This window comes from Homo sapiens, chromosome 6 (genome assembly GCF_000001405.40).
Source record: "Homo sapiens chromosome 6, GRCh38.p14 Primary Assembly".
NCBI lineage: Eukaryota > Metazoa > Chordata > Mammalia > Primates > Hominidae > Homo > Homo sapiens.
The window spans coordinates 139,142,488-139,160,183 of NC_000006.12; the positions used below are offsets into that span (position 1 = coordinate 139,142,488).

General features: G+C 40.5%; 2 protein-coding genes across 2 annotated transcripts in view; one reads left to right on the top strand and one right to left on the bottom strand.

Annotated features, from left to right (window-relative positions):
• The window catches only part of HECA (hdc homolog, cell cycle regulator), a 45,723-nt gene that overhangs the window by 7,408 nt on the left and 20,619 nt on the right, over positions 1 to 17,696 (top strand). The gene's annotated exons all lie outside the window — the stretch shown is intronic.
• The window catches only part of TXLNB (taxilin beta), a 164,789-nt gene continuing 163,767 nt past the window's right edge, over positions 16,675 to 17,696 (bottom strand). Inside the window, exon 13 of the transcript XR_007059217.1 lies at positions 16,675 to 16,766. The gene's annotated coding sequence lies outside the window, so the exon portion shown is untranslated. The remainder of the gene's footprint in view (positions 16,767 to 17,696) is intronic.

Sequence of the window (17,696 nt, forward strand, 5' to 3'; positions counted from 1 at the left end):
TGGTTGTTTTAAAGGCATGCTGGAGAATTGCTCAGCAAATTCTCCAAAATGTCTCAGCAACTGGAGGGCCCCATTTGCATCCGGAATTTGGAGCAGATGCTGTCGTACATAGGGGGACTTTCCAAGGCTGGATGTATTTCTGTTTTTAAAACAGAGATTTTAAAAAGTAGTAATGGTGGCCAGGCAATGGTGGCTCACGACTGTAATCCCAGCACTTTTGGAGGCCGAGACGGGCGGATCATGAGGTCAGGAGTTCAAGACCAGCCTGACCAACATGCTGAAACCCTGTTTCTCTACTAAAAATACAAAAATTAGCTGGGCATGGTGGCGGGCTCCTGTAATCTCAGCTACTCAGGAGGCTGAGGCAGGAGAATCACTTGAACCCAGGAGGCGGAGGTTGCAGTGAGCTGAGATCGCGCCATTGCACTCCAGCCTGGCGACAGAATGAGACTCCGTCTCAAAAACAAAAGTAATAATGGTAGATGATATTTTAGTAACTGGTGATAGAGTTAGTGAAGATGAAAGCATAGACCTTTGAAATTCTGTCTGTATTATGATTCTAATCTTACAAAGTAAGATCTGGAGTTTTTAAAGCTTTAGTGAAAAAAGACTGGGTACTTCAGGCTTGGGTGTAAAGCTAGGTGCTATAACTTACGCTATAGCAGAGTGACTTTGGGGCAGGTTATTTAACCTTTCTCAGCCTCTGTTTTCTAAATGCAATCCTTTAGGGTGTTTTTTTGAAGGAAAACAGTATATGTGAAAGACGTTGGCACAGGGCCTGGCAGATATGAGCCCTGTCAACAACAGCTTTGTAAATTTTGTGGTTTGTTCAACCTTATCCAACTAAAAAACTTGTTAAGCCATTGTGATGTTAAGAACAGACACTGAGAGACATTAATGTGGAAAAAGACTATAGTACCGTGCAAGTTTTTATTCAAGCACTGCTTTGACTCAAAATGATTATCTACTCTTCCCCCATCTTCTCTTTCTTATCATAGTTTACTGGGAAAAAATCAGATGATTTAGCTAAAAATAAGCAAACAAAAAGCAACATGTAAAAATGGGTACATCTTCCTTATATAGAAATAAACGCTGCCAGGCGTGGTGGCTCACACCTGTAATCCCAGCACTTTGGGAGGCTGAGGCAGGCAGATCACAAGGTCAGGAGATCGAGACCACCCTGGCCAACATGGTGAAACCCCATCTCTACTAAGAATAGAATAATTAGCTGGATGTGGTGGCACGTGCCTGTAATCCCAGCTACTCGGGAGGCTGAGGCAGGAGAATCGCTTGAACCCAGGAGATGGAGATTGCAGTGAGCCGAGATTGCGCCACTGCACTCCAGTCTGGTGACAGAGCGAGACTCTGTCTCAAAAAAAAAAAAAAAAAAAGAAAGAAAGAAATGCAAGTAAGTTATTCCATGTATTAAACAAGGGCAGCTGTGAAAGAGCAGGAGCATATGTGGCAAAATATTGGGTTAAATATAAGTATTGGATTTGAAGATGGAGAAGTCAAATGAGTATGTGGAGTTGTGTAGCTGAAAGGAGGTGAGGAGCCCAGGATGTACTTTGGGGGATCAGCCAGGGCTTAGTGTTACTGAGAATTAAACACAGGATCCTTCCCTCTCTCCAGGCAACTACTGGATTCATTAGATCCTCATTCATTCATTAGATCCTCATTCATTAGATCCTAATTCATTGTTTATATACTCATCCATTTACTACATATTTATTATGCACCTACTATCTCCTATGACTGAGAAGTACAATGTTAAATTATACTTGGGGGGATCAGAATCCATACCATCAAGGGCTCACTGTGAAGCTGGCAGAGAGACATGGAAACAACAGGAGCCATGATAATGTACTGTGGATAGCCAGTGGGGAAAATGATGTTTCCTGGAGGAGGGGACATTTGAGCTGAGTCTTGCAGGAAGAGAGACAGTGAATTCTAAAGGTAGAGGAAGGATGTTCCAAACAGAGGGAAGTGAAAAAGGGCCTTGAGTTCTGGTTGCTCCAGGAGTTTGATGTAGCCGGTGTCAGGTGCCGTGGTAGGACTGGAGGCTGGAAAGGGGGCTGGGTCAGACAGTCAAAGCTGGATGTTTGTAGCCAGTGGAGAACCGCCCACCTAGGTTTATAAACAAGGACATGGTCAGCTGAATTTGAAAAGGGGGTAATCACAGGTTGTTGACAAGTTTGTAAAATTATATATTTTAACAGAATGAGTATCTTTTAATATAACTAATAAAGGATTGGAGGTGGAGCCTGCCATGGACCCTCAATTGTGGTTTTTCAATGAAGCAGAGGGCACATGGCACATGCTGCTTTTCTGCCCAGGATGACAGTGTTGCAGGATCCAAGACTGCTGTATGGAAAGCCTATCTTAATTGTGGGCAGCAGCAGCCCAGTGCTTTCTGAGCCATGTGAGGTTACTAATTGAGGTTAACATCAGAGAACTAGATGCCAGTGGGAGGGATTGGGACCATTTGAGCAAGTAAGATTTTCTCTAGAGGCAGGGGCTTGTCCCTATGGTTTATTTTTCGTACCTAGGTAGAAAGTGTATATCTCTGTGCCAAGTTGTACTAATTATCTTGGTTTGTCATTTTATTTTTGTCAACATCTTACCAGTTTTTAAAACAATAAACTCTGGTGAGGGGAAATGCTATTTTGTACAGAGTGACTGTGTGTTTTAATTTTGTATATTTCAGAAAGCTTCCAGTTTTCAGTGGTTAGCGAAATAGCAACTTGCTTTATTTAATCAACAGGATGTTTTAGCTTAATTGTACTTGAGAGCTTTTTATAAACTAGCAAAAAGTCAGTAGCATTTCTAATACTTTAAAATGTTACAATTTTTCAGACAAATTACTTTTGCTAAATTGTACAGATGAGGATAATACTTGAAAAGTCTAAGAGTGAGAAACAAGAAAGATACTAAGAGGAAGCTTAAAGAAAAGTGAGGAAAAAGGAAGATGAAGTGTTCAATGTAGTCATATAATTGCTTAGATAGCATTTAATGAGAAAGTTAGCATTGTTCTCATATATACACGTAATATAGTGTATTTCATAGATTTAAATAGTCAAGGAGGAAAAACTTTCTCTACTCTCTTAGGCTTAGTGATTGAGGGTCTGCAAATTAAATTGACAAGAGACAGATTGCAAGATAAAAGACATTTAATCATAGAAGAATGTGAGCCAAAGGAATGGTTAGAAGTAGGGGCTTGTATGTTATTTTAATAGGGGAAGGGGAGGGGAGAAAAGGGAACTTATGGGAAAACAAAGGACTTTTTGGAAAGATAAGTGGGCGTTTAGGAGAATAGATGAAAGATGCGATAGTTTGGTGGTAATATCAGCTTGGTGTGGTGTGAAGACTTTTCATCTCTGGTGATGAGTCGCTCTTCCTTGGTTGCTCTTGGGGAGGGGATTTATGTTAATTGAATTCTTTTTGAGAGCCTCTGCTTTTAGGCCAGTAAGAGATTTCAGGAACTTAATCACTTTCAGCTCTTTAATTTTTATGCCACAGTGGCATATTCTGGACCCCCTCACAATATATTGCCACTCAAATCATATTACCTCCCCTCCCCTACCAAGAACAATTACAGATAGTCGGATAGGAAAAGATGGTCCAGGTGTCACAATTCACATTTCTTTTTATTTCATTTTATTGGAAATTCATTAAAAATAGAATGCCTTAAGATTTATTCCTTCATAACACGTGATCAAGAGGATGAATTCAGACAAAAGTTAGTAAGGTATCAAATTGCTCCGGTAAGTTAAGCAGCTACTTGCCACATTGAAAATGTATATTTTTCTCTAGGGGTAAGCATAGGTTTGATTATACTTTAGATCATGTCCCTTCAAGTTATAAAGTCATCTCAGTAGAGTCTTTGGACACTAATGTTGAAACTGAGTCACAGGCTTTGTTTTCGCTTTATAAATGAGCACTCCTGAGTGTGATGCTTATTTCAGTGTAATATTTAGTATAACACAACTTCTTATTAAGGTAACACACTAGTTGTTATGCCTAACACAGCTCAGTAGGCAGAAGTCGAAACAGAAATGTACAGAATCAAGTTCTGGCTATTTTTGATTGGCAGCGGGTACAATCTGTAATCTGAGAGCGGGAGCCTGAGATGGCTGGTGATAGGTGTCAGTGAACAGACACGGAGAGCCCAGAACAGTGCTGCCAGAAGCCATGAAGAGGGCCTGGCATTGAAAAATAAGTGCCTGCTGTGGTGGAGGCAGAAGTGTACATGCCTGAAAACATAGGGAAGCTCAAAGAATTCTTCCAAATGGCTTCCAGCTCCTTGGATCCGTTCTTACTGGGCAGTGCCTACATGTCACAGTGACTTTCTTTACCTCGGTAATGATACAGTTCCACTGTGTTAGGCATATAGTTTTAGTAGTGAAGGTGATGTGCTGTAGTGCAGAAGCAAATTAGGCAAGACTCCTGGGTGATTGGTGTGTTGGGTCTGTAGAACTTACGGAAAGGAGAAGCAGCCATTCCTAGTGACAGGAAAAGTGAAGTTGCCACAGCTCCCCTTTTTGAGTGTTTAGTAGGAGTCAGGTGTGACACCTGCAGTCTGCAGTCTACATTTGAGTATGAGGACACTAAGCTTCAGAGATGGCCTTCCCTTCTTGCAGAAAAGGCTTGGCTGTAGGGAAGTGTGCCTGACCCCCATGCTTTATAGTTGGAATCTTGTTGATGTTGGGTCCATCTTGACTCACACACATACGTACATAAATAATGAAAAACTGTATGCAGATTTTTAAAGGAGAGGACTGAAATTCAGTGTAAAAACACCAATATGGTTTTTATACTGAATAAGGACATTTACATTACTTTTAAAAGGTCTTATGGGTCGGGCGTAGTGGCTCATGCCTGTAATCCCAGCACTTTAGGAGGCTGAGGTGGGTGAAACACTTGAGTCCAGGAGTTCGAAACCAGCCTGGGCAACATGACAAAACCCCACCTCTGCAAAAATACAAAAATTAGCCGGATGTGGTGATGTGTGCCTGTAGTCCCAGCTACTCGGGAGGCTGAGGTGGGAGGATCGCTTGAGCCCAGGAGGAAAGGCTTGCAGTGAGCTGCATCTAGCCTGGGTGACAGAACGAGATGCTGTCTAAAAAAAGAAAAAAAATGCTTGTCATTCTGGTACTTGAACTGAAATTACATTTGTAAAACAAGAAAATACTTGACCCAAGGAAGCACTTTACTCACACATTGTACACGTATGTTGATCTGATCCTTCTATCACAGAAGGACTTCCTGGTCTTGGCTTGGGAGATTGTGAACATTTGAACTGGCACTTCCTGTTCTTAATGGACCAGAGTTCATAACTAGCATGTGATTATCTTTAGGGTAAAGTCCTAGCAGTAGGATCACTGGTTTGATACATATTGCCAAACTGCTCCTACAGACGAGGTTTGCCAGTTTACACCATCAGTGGTGGTGCAGTTCCTTCGCACTCTGTAATGTAAATTTCGATTACCATTTTCATCTTTGCCAATCAGATAGATGAAAAATCACATCTCATTGTCATAATATTTGCATTTTTTGGATCATCAGTGAATATCTTTTTATATTTATATTGATCATTTGTATTTTTTTCTTGTTTGTGATTTTTGTCCATTTTACTAATAGGGTATTTGTGTTCTTACTGATTTTCACAAAGTGTTTGCGTATTCAGGGTACTTTTTGACATACGCTTTCCCTAATTTATTGTTTGCCTTTCAGCCTTATTTATGGTTGTCTTTGCTGGTTAGAAATTTTACAGTTTTGTATGATTACATTAACATCCACATAGAAATAAAGGTAAAGGTAAGGGAGTGTGAGGAAAGTTGTGAAATTACTTGTAGGCAAAGCAGTTTGGGCATGGCATAAAGTTAGCAACTTTGAGTTCATTTGTATACCAGTGCACAGTAATGCTATTACATTTATGAGGTTGTGTTTACTTTTTAATTTGGAAGGCTCTGTTTCTCAGAATTGGTTGCAACCCGCCAGGTGTGGTGGCTTACGCCTGTAATCTCAGCACTTTGGGAGGCTGAGGCAGGCAGATCACTTGAGGTCAAGAGTTTGAGACCAACTTGGCCAACATGGTGAAACCCCATGTCACTACTAAAAATGCTAACATTAGCTGGGCATGGTGGCGCATGCCTCTTATCCCAGCTACTCGTGAGGCTGAGGCAGGAGAATCGCTTCAACCTGGGAGGCAGAGGTTGCAGTGAGCTGAGATCATGCCTCTAAACTCCAGCCTGGGCATTAGAGGGAGACTCTGTCTCCAAAAAAAAAAAATTGGTTGCAACTCCTGCTGCCCTCCCTTACCTCCTCTCCGAGTCTCTGGCCACTCACTGCTGTCGAGTCAATAGCTGAGCTCCAGTGCTCAATACCCGTCTCTTCTTGCACATTTCTAAAATCCCTTGTAGTTTTTTTCCAGCTATGTAGGACTTTGACACTTGTAGATAAAGACTCATTATTTACTTGTAATTGCCTCTTCTCAAGAACCAGGCTGCAAACTGAGGCCTCTTAAGGCTAAATTGCCCATAAGTTGCTTATGATAACAGACTTAAATGCTGAATCATAAGAAAGTTCTCATTTTTCTCCTTCTGGCACTTGAACTGAAATTACATGTGTATATTAATAAAATGAGAACATAGCACTCGATTGAACCAAGAGTTTATTCACACACCATGCATCATGCTGATCCAGGGAGCCTTTGTGCCTTCTCAGATGTCTGTGATTTGGAAGAGGTTTCCAAACTCATTTCTGTTCTAAACAGTGTGAGATTTGGGAGACACAGGTTATAGGTGATCTGGCTCTGCCATTTTGCAAGGCTGCCAAACCTTGCCAAGCCCAAGTTTTATCTGCAGAAAGTGAGCATGACATGATACTGTTTGTGACGAGCTCTTTTTCAAACCATAGAGCTGTTTGGAAAAGCAAATCGTTGTGCCATGATTTGGGGTTTTTAGTTTTTTCTAGGTGAGTTTTTGGTTCTCTGTTTGTAATGTGGTGCAGTGTGGCTGCTTCCCAACCAGTGATGAATGCACACACTGATTTGTTGGAAGAACCAGTGCAGATGTTGGCTTTCCCCCAGGGAGTTTGCAGTGAATGCCGGTCTTCCAAATCTGTATTCTGCTGCTTTGGGGGGAGCCTTTCGTTTCTCTGCAAGTTTGGATCTGGGAGCTCTTGCTGTGCAAATTTTGCCCAGAGAATCTGTAGTATTCATTCTCCTGCCGGTCTCAGGGCAAGCCCAGTTTTTTGAATGAGACCTTCTGGAGCTACTGCAAACAGCCTTTCTGACCCCACAGTGAGGAGAAACTGAGGCAACCGAAGCCTTGAGGAGGGTTCTTTCACCAGTGTGAGCATAGCTGACTTTGGGATTCTTTTGTTGTGATCTGTGGATCAATCCTGTCCCTGAGCTCTCCTGATTTTGTTATAACAGCAGAGTCCACTTAGATTTTAACCATTTGATCAGCAGAGCCTTGTTTTTGGCCTGTTGTGCTGCATGATTTACAGTGTGCATCTGGATTTGTAATTATGCCTCACATAGTTTATATTTTGATTCACTTCAGGCTTTTCTGCTTTCTCCTCTTTACCTGCCTCTAGGGCCATATGGAGTGGAAGTTTGCATGTTGTTGTAAAAGCATTTTGAAATGTTCATCAGACTTTCATGGTTTCCTTACTTCCCTTTTAGGTTTTGCATTTTAAATTAGGTTATAGAATTGTGAATTTACCAAACTATATTGTGGATTTTATTCAAACAGTTTCTGTGGGTATGAAATACTGGTCATGTGTATGTATCAATATTTTATATGGAATCATTATATTTCTTGGGGTTAGGCTGACAAAAAACAATCTGTTAGCTTCATTCATGAGAGGTATTCAGATTTGAAATTTTTGACTTTGGAATAAATCAGTTTTCCTCAACTTATATTTTAATGTTCTGTGATATATGTGATCTAAAGATGACTTTGGGGGTGAGAGTGGGGCTAAAAAAAAAAAAAGAAATAGATGATAAAAAAGATGACTTTGAGTAATTTTTAAATAATTAATTTTAAATATTTTTTTCTTGATCAATTTTGGACATATGAGTTAGAATTCATTTAGAATATATATATATATGTTGAATATAATCATAGGTAATATAACAAATTCTATAATAGTAGAAAGTAAGTTTTAGATTTTTTTGGTAACTCTTTTCACAAATGTTATATTATTTTTCCCCTCTGGTTTGAAATGAATAGTTTTGAGTCTTTGAGAATGGTCATACCATAAAATTATATCTGTGTTCCACAAAAGTTAGTAATTGGAAAAGGAATGAACATTTAATTAAAATATCACTAGCTTAAACTATCAATAGGAGTCTGTAACTCTAAGTTTACTTAATTTTCCTTAGAAAATTTTATGAAATACTCCCTTGAAATCAAATCATATTATAGCAAGTTGCTTCAAGTTAGTATATGTGAACTGCTAGTTCACAACAATCATGACTGATTGTTGAGTCTACTTTTTCATTTTTACTGAGGTATGGATAAGACTTAGACATGCCCTCTTCTTTGACAAGTTTTTCCTTGTTGCAACAGATTCTATAACTTGCCTGTTGGTTGCTGATGCAGCTTTTCAGAAATAGGCCGTGCAGTGTGGCCCCAGGCAAAAGCTTTGTCTTTTCTCCCAAGAACCTAGCGGAATGACTGCCAGAGTGATCACTATAAAGCATTTTACCAGGTTATTTTGAAGGGACGCAGGGAGCAGAAAGAGTGTATTTCAGAAAGTTCAGCAGGGCAGAAAAGGCCTGTGGAAAACAAAAGAGTGTAAAGATTTCATTTATTTTAGGGTATGGATAGGGTAAAGAAGTGAATTTAGCTACATCGTGCTGAGATTTTATTGATTTAAATACAGTAGTCTTAAAATCATCTTGGGAGTTGGTGTGTTAACTCAATCCGTTTAACTAAACAGAATGCAGGCAAGGCAGGCTGAACTTCTGTTTCTTCCGGCCGTGCTTTTTCTGCTACTTAATTTGATATTCTCCATACTGAGAGAATGGTGTTTCTTTACATTCTTTCAAAGGAAAATCCTCCTCTTTTGAGTTTAGCAATTCTATTAACTAGAGCAGATTGACTTTCTTGTCATTATTTTTAAGGAGTGCAAAGATTGGGGTCAGGAAACCTTTATACTGTAATTGAGTTTAAGTACTTTTTTAACGTGGTCACTTAGGTTGGTGCAAAAGTAATTTGCGATTTTTGCCATTACTTTCTTACCTACTTTTTAAGTACTCTAAGGATTAATATGAGGATTGAACATTTTGAATAAGACACTATTCTCAATTGTAGAACTACATACTACAATCTGGTTACGCAAAGCTGTGGGGTCACAGCCTCTCCATATAAGCTGGCTCTGTGCTCTCAATTGTCCTGTGTGCAGTATGGGTGGAAATACAAGAGAGAAGGCCACTTACTAGCTGAATGGCCTTGGGCACATCACCAAAGGAGCCTTCCTGTGCTCAGAAAGAGTATGTGGAATCTGGACTAAAGTGATTGTCCTATTTCTATTCTGTGAAACTTTGATACTTTTAAGAAACATTTAGGATAAACTATGACACTATTATCTTCATCCTGATGTTCAGCCTAAACCAGGCATATTCTGGGTCCGTATTCTTTTGGGTCTTGACGTGTCTTCTATTAGACAAGGAAAATATGAATCTTCTACTTTATAGTCATTATTGATGTGATTTCTTACTGAGATCAGAGCGTCAGAGCCAGAATGGAAATAACAGGTAAAATAGAAACCTAGAGTTTTTTATTTAGTTTGAATTTGAGGCTGGGTAGACTTGTGGGTTTTAATTTCAAAGTAAGAAAAGGGTGGGTCTAGGAGAACAGACTAAATATATTAAGAGAATGTTAAAAACCCAAGTTGTAAACTGTATTGAAGCATTGGATGTGTGTGTGTGTGTGTGTGTGTGTGTAGCTTCCATGTTTATTTTGACAGAGTGGTTTGCCTGAGTAAAAGCTTTTCGTTTAAATCCTACTGTAAGCAAAGAAAAACATGTTTAACTGAATGTAATTGCCTTGTGCTCAATTTGCTACTCACTTTGGAGCAGGTTCACACACTAAAATAACATAAGGGGAGGTTAAATTACATCAAAGGTTAAGACAGATAAGCTTAAGTGATCTCATTGTAGCTCCTATACTAATTAAAACAAGTTGACAAAATATTTTTGTAAGTACTAGCCTTCCTTTATGTGTAGTGCTTAGTGTCTTTATTTTTAGTAGAAAAAAGGTCTTAAAAATATTTGAGGAAATTTATATTAAAACCTTTTGAGTTTTCATTTAAATAATACTTGCCGGTTAATCAGGAAATGATTCTTTAAATTTCTTTTTATTTTTAATTTTTGTGGGTACATAGTAGTATATAGGAAATGATTCCTAAACACCCTGTGAATTTGAGGCACAGTGTGGAGCATCAGTGGGCTGCAGTTAGCTTCTTTGTCCACTCCTGTGTCTTACCTAATTTCCATGTTACAGCCACAGGAATGGGCCAAGGCTGAAGCAGAGACTTTACCCTAGCTGGTGATCAGATGGAAAAGCAAGGCTGGGGCCTAATTACAGGAGCTCCTTGAACATGACCCAAGAACTTGGAGCATTAGTCTGAGTTTCTGAGGTTTCTGAATGTGTGTATGATGTGATCATAGTCAAGTTTTCAGAATGCCGATCTGAAGGTATTAATCAATCAAACTTTTTTTTGCTGTGTATCTCCTAAGAGAATTAGAAAAAAAACAGGGTTCTTGTAAATTTTTAAGTTGTCACACCCAGTTTTCTAAAGACTTAAATAGATGCTGAGGATACAGTTTCCAGTTCATTGTAAACATTGTAATTTATGCAAACAGAATCCTAATTATCGTAGTAACTTGGTAACCATTATCATCCATTTAAAAAATAATGTAATTTTTTTTTTTTTTTGAGAGGGAGTTTTGCTCTCGTCGCCCAGGCTGGAGTGCAGTGGCGCGATCTCGGCTCACTGCGGTCTCCGCCTTCCAGGTTCAAGTGATTTTTCTGCCTCAGCCTCACGAGTAGCTGGGATTACAGGCACGTGCCACCATGCCCATCTAATTTTTGTATTTTTAGTAGAGACGAGGTTTCGCCATGTTGGTCAGGCTGGTCACTCCTGACCTCAGGTGATCCTCCCGCCTCAGCCTCCCAAAGTGCTGGGATTACAGGTGGGAGCCACCGCACCCGGCCTAAAAAAATAATAGAAATTTTACATTCTTTTCTTTATTTCCATTCAGTTTGTACTCAGAATTTGATCCTAAGACAGGGTATTGTCCTGCTTAGAAGTATTTTATTGATCATCCTATCATATTTTCCTATAACAAAATATACATATAAACTTTTAAATTTTTATTAAGATGGACTTCTGAGATGGCAGAGTAAGGGCCTCCAGAAATTTGCTCCTCCATGAAAGCAATAAGAACACTGCCAAGAATTACCAAAATTAACTTTTTCAGAACTCTGGAAATTAACCAAAGGCTTACAGTAATTCTAAGAGTGTTCTTTCAAGAGAAATGACTGAATCATAATAAAAACAGTGAGCTGTGGTGTTTTAACTTGGTTAGTACCTCCCCCTTTCCCTAGCTCTGTGGTATCAGAGCAATGTAATTGCTATGTAAATAGTTGTTATACTGTATTTAGGGAATAATGACAAGAAAAATAAGCCTGTGTATGTTCAATACAGACACAACCATCTGTTTTTTTTCCATGAATATTTTCCATTGACAATTGGTCAAATCCATGGATGTGGAACCCACAGATATAGAGGACAGACTGCATATGAATGGGGTGGAGAGGGAGTCTTAGCTACCTGGAGAATGTGTGCTGCACCAAAACAGCATTCTGATTCACATTCCAAAAAAAAACTCTGGACTGGTTTACTAAGACACAATGCAGGCCAAACTGCCCCATTGGAACTCTGATCTAGGGGATATATAGACATCATATCACCTATTATCAGTTGAGCTTTTAGAATATTTTGAACAGCAGGGAGTTGTGAGTTGTATTTTCTAACCGGTAACTGGTCTACGGATGACCCGTGTTGCCAGTTAATCATGCAGTCTTATGCTTTACCTGTTGGGCAGACAAGGGAAGGGGTAAAGTCATTAGTCTTTTCAGCAGAGGTCATTGGGATTTCAGAGGTAAGGGGAAGGGGCCAAATCGGCCATGGCCTTTGGCCTCCAAATACCATTTTGGGGCTCATCAAGAGAGAAGAAGCAGGTCCAGCATTTACACTGCGTTGTAATTTACATGGTAAATGAAAATCACATAGATAAACTATGAGTAAAGAGGTTTGAGTATTGCCACATTTTGAATATTTGTGCTGACAAAGGAGGACATTAATATGGATAATCAAAATCAAGCTTATTTTCCTAAGCAAGGATAATATTGGAATACAGTACTAAAGACTGACATGAAGTCTTTAAAAATAGGATTGTTTAACAACTGGTTGGACAGTTTCTCCGCAGTTGTATATATACAGTCATGCATTGCTTAATGACAGGGATACATTCTAAGAAGTGTGTCATTTGGCGATTTCATCATCAGGCGTACATCATAGAGTGTACTTATACAAAGTATAGCCTACTACATACGTAGGCCAGATGGTATACCCTGTTGCTTCTGTGCTACAAACCTGTACAGCAGGTTCGTTGAATACTGTAGGCAATTGGAACACAATGGCATTTATGCATCTAAACATACAGAAACATAGAAAAGGCACAGTAAAAATACAGTACAAAAGATAAACAGTGGTACACACATGTAGGCCACTTACACATGAAAGGAGCTTTCAGGACTGGAAGTTACTCTGGGTGAGTCAGTGAGTGAATCTGAAGGCCTAGGACATTACATTACTGTAGACTTTGATAAACACTGTACACTTAGGCTACCCTAAATGTAGGGGAAAAATGAGGTAGGTATACTAGGACGTCACTAGGCAATAGGAATTTGTCAGTTCAGTTATAATCTTATGGGACCACTGTTGTGTACGGAGTTCATTGTTGAATCAAACGTCGTTATATAGCATATGACTGTATATGCACACGTACATATACACACACATACACTTACACATATGCTTAGTCTGGAGTCCTCTTCCCATTTTATGATAGTGTGATTTGGTTCCAAGAGCTCCTGAATCTACATTTCCTTCAGAGCATATTATGTAGTGCATTTTCGTGCTAGGATGCTGTGTAGTTTTCAATGATTTAGTACCCCCAAGATCTAAATCTCCAAACAAGAGAAAAGGCAGCCTGCTAATTTCTTTTCTAGTACAGTGTGATCCCATTATATGCAAATTGAATTATGCAAATTTCAACTACTCACATATAAATAATATTAATAAAAGCTTCACATTGTGTGCAAAATTTCAACAAGCATGTTTTCCCAAATTATGTGTGAAGCCATTTCATATTTTCAAAGCTGTCAGGTCAACTGAATTATAAAAGTGCTTTCTTACCCAGTGGCACCATTTATATTTTTTATATTTTATATGTTTCTATTTTATAAATATGTTTATATTTTATATGTTTATATTTTCTTATAAACAAATACTAACTTGTGGCAGTATTATGTGAACTCTTCTTGTTGCTAGAACTTCTGTAAGGATTTTGGTGACGTTTGTATTATTATTTTTTACATTCACTGTTACAATTTAAAATCTTTACTATAGCTTTTTCTTTTTTTTTTCTTTGACAGGGTCTGGCTCTGTCACACAGGCTGTGGTGTAGTAGCATGATCTTGGCTCACTGCAGCTTCCGCCTCCCAGGCTCAAGCCAATGCTTCCACCTCGGCCTCCTGAGTAGCTGGGACTACAGGCACGTGCCACAACACCAGGCTAATTTTTGTATTTTCTTTTTTTGATAGAGATGAGATCTCACCATGTTGCCCAGGCTGGTTTTGAACTCCTGGGCTGAAGTGACCTTCCTGCCTTGGCCTCTTAAAATGCTGGAATTATAAGCGTGTGCCATTGTGTCCAGCCTGTAGCTTTCAAAATATCACCTAAGTGTGCTAATACTGGTGCTGAAAAACATCCTGGAAATCAGTAACTTTGGAAAAGAAATTAGATGTGATAAAAGATACCAGGAAATGACATGCTGTTAATTTATGAAATAAACTCAGAAGTATGAGAGTTAATGCTGATAGAATTAAAAAGTATGAGTAAAGCAGAAATACAGCACAATGACGGCACGTGTCTGTGTTCTGAGTGTGCATTCCGCATACTCTATCCTTAGACTATGGAATAATCTGTTCTGAATTATGTAAGTTCTTCAGGACCATGTCCCATGAGTAAAATGCAGTCATGCTTCATGAATCTCTGTTACCCATGCTAGGGAAAGATGGATTAGGTTTAAAAATACATATTGTTACAGGAGAGGGGTCCTGATCCAGACTCCAAGAGAGGGTTCTTGGATCTCGCACAAGAAAGAATTCAGGGCGAGTCCGCAGTGCAAAGTGAAAGCAAGTTTATTAAGAAAGTAAAGGAATAAAAGAATGGCTACTCCATAGACAGAGCAGCCCCAAGGGCTGCTGGTTGCCCACTTTATGGTTATTTCTTGATGATACACTAAACAAGTGGTGGATTATTCATGCCTCCCCTTTTTAGACCATATAGGGTAACTTCCTGACGTTGCCATGGCATTTGTAAACTTGTCATGGCACTGGTGGGAGTGGAGCAGTGAGAATGACCAGAGGTCACTCTCGTCACCATTTTGGGTTTGGTCGGTTTTGACCGGCTCCTTTACTGCAATCTGTTTTTATCAGCAAGGTCTTTATGATATGTGTTTTGTGCCAACCTCCTGTCTCATCATGTGACTTAACTATCTGGGAATGCAGCCCAGTAGGTTTCAGCCTCATTTTACCCAGCTCCTATTTAAGATAGAGTTGCTCTGGTTCACACGCCTCTTGACAATATAACAGAGTACTTATTTGTCTGACACTGAGAAGAACATCTTCATGGGGTTAGAAGAAGATAATTTTGAAGGTCTCCTTTTCCTTCTACTTCTTTGACACTAGTCAGTAAATATTGAGTGAATTATCTTATGCATGCCATACTGCTTTGTTGTGAAGAAGAAATCTACTTCTTGCCCCTCATAAGCCTAAAGCACACATAGAAAGTCATGACTGACAAAAGTGTAAGTTGGGAGAGCATGCAAGTGGCAACATTTGGCCCAAGAGTAATATAGAGGGCTGTAGAGAGTGGGATGGTACTTTCCCAGCTAAGAAGGCTGGCACCTCCCTGGGCTTGGGAAGATGTGGAAGGGATTGGGCTTGGGACAGGATTGAGGCGAGGCACAGGTGGAGGAGGGTGTGTGCCTGCATGTAGCAAAAGGGGGCAAATGAGAGGGGGTGAATATAATAACACTGAAGTGCCCAACTCCTGGTGGGCTCGGCCAGCCTTGCACTTAATGTGGAGAAAGGAGGATGGATGGCCACTTCCTGGTTGTGGCTTTGCTCTAAACTTGTTCAAAATCTCTTGATTTTTATGACAAGTAATATAAAGTGATATGGCATTTGTTAACAATTGCTTATAGTTAAACAGTGCTTGGCCAGGTGCAGTGGCTCACACCTATGATCCCAGCACTTTGGGAGGCTAAGGCAGGAGGATCACTTAAGCCCAGGAGTTCAAGACCAGCCTGGGTAACAGAGTGAGACCCCACCTCTACAAAATTTTTTTATAAAAAGTCAGCTGGGGCTGGGCTCGGTGGCTCATGCCTGTAATCCCAGCACTTTGGGAGGCCGAGGCGGGCAGATCACGAGGTCAGGAGATGGAGACCGTCCTGGAAAACACAGTGAAACTCCGTCTCTACTAAAAAATACAAAAAATTAGCTGGGTGTGGTGGCGGGTGCCTGTAGTCCCAGCTACTTGGGAGGCTGAGGCAGGAGAATGGTGTGAACCTGGGAGGCGGAGCTTGCAGTGAGCAGAGATCGTGCCACTGCACTCCAGCCTGGGTGACAGAGCGAGATTCCATCTCAAAAAAAAAAAAAAATCAGCTGGGAGTGGTGGCGTGCACCTGTAGTCCCAGCACCTGTAGTCCCATGCTGAGGTGGGAGGATGGCTTGAGCCTGGCAGGTTGAAGCTGCAGTAAGCCATGACCATGCCACTGTACTCCGGTGTGAGCAACAGAGCAAGACCCTGTCTCAAAAAAAAAAAAAAAAAGAAAAATTGGTGTTTAGGTGCCAAGCACTGTTCTAACTACTTTAATAACTTCTTCATTCCTCATGGCAACCCTTTTGGGGTAGGTATTAGTATTATTATTTCTGGGCCAGGCACAGTGGCCCATGCCTATAATCCCAGCACTTTGGGAGGCCAAGGTAGGCAGATCACTTGAGGTCAGGAGTTCAAGACCAGCCTGACCAACATGGAGAAACCCTATCTCTACTAAAAATACAGAATTAGCCAGGCATGGTGGCGCATGCCTGTAATCTCAGCTACTTAGGAAGCTGAGGCAGGAGAATCGCTTGAACCTGGGAGGCGGAGGTTGCGGTGAGCCGAGATAGCACCATGGCACTCCAGCCTGGGCAACAAGAGCGAAACTCCCTCTCAAAAAAAAATTTTTGAAAAAAAAAATTATTATTTCTGCCATTTTACAGGATTTTACAGGTAAGGAAACAGAGGCACAGGGAAGTTAGGTGATTTGCCAAAGGTCTTTAATAAGTTGCAGAGCTGAGTCACATCCAGGCAGGCTGGCTCTGTGTCATCTCCCACAGTCTGGAGTCGGGAAGCTGGAGATGGAGGACACTGGTCAGAAATTCATACCCTAAGAGGACCATGCTCTCTGCAAACAAGGGGATTTGTTCCCACATAAGAGGAATAATCAGCGATCTAATAAAACAGTTTTGAAACCTTACATTTGTAATAACCAGTTCACTTTTACACAGCTAGTATCCCATGGAACCGGGACTTACACATAAATGTCTTTTTTTCCTCCTTTAAAAAAAAAATGGTACCTGGGTGCCACAAGGAGGGTAGCAGGAATGATGTTAGTTTGAGGAAGTGAGGGTGAGGGCCAGGCTCTGTCCCGACAGAGAAGGCCTGGACTGAATCTAGGAGACCTGGCTGGAGCTCTGCAGCTGCCTCCCCAGCAGCTGGGCTGGTTCTCCCCATGGGTTCACCCTCTCTCTATTACTGTGGTCACAACCAGAGGACTGAGTCTGGTTGGGTCATTCTTTCCTTCATCAGAAGATTTATTAAACACTTATTTATGCAGTAGTGGGTTTACAAGGATGAATGTGACTAAGTCATCCCTATTTTAGATTTTGCCTGGAAAGCCTCATATGACTTAAGAAGACCCTCCTTACCTTCATTCCACCCAACTCCCCACCTGCTTATGGTGCAGCTGTTTTAAGGGGGATAAAAATATTTAACTCATAGTTTAAAAGCTGAAAATAGCAATGTCCGGTTTATGGGGCTCCTCAGTGAATGAGGTTGTCAGGAGATTTGGGCTCATTGGGCATTCAGTGTGATCCTCCTCTTTCAATAGGTAAGGAGCACAGAGTTCTCAAGTGAGGGCAGGATGCAGGGTAAGAAAGCTGGGGAGACAGGATAGGCTTGGCCCAGGTGACTGCAGCCTAGCTACCCTGTTATCCAGACTTGAAACTGAGATTTTTGCCCAGAATCACATGAACCCTGTTTATTTTAACTTGAGCAGAAGA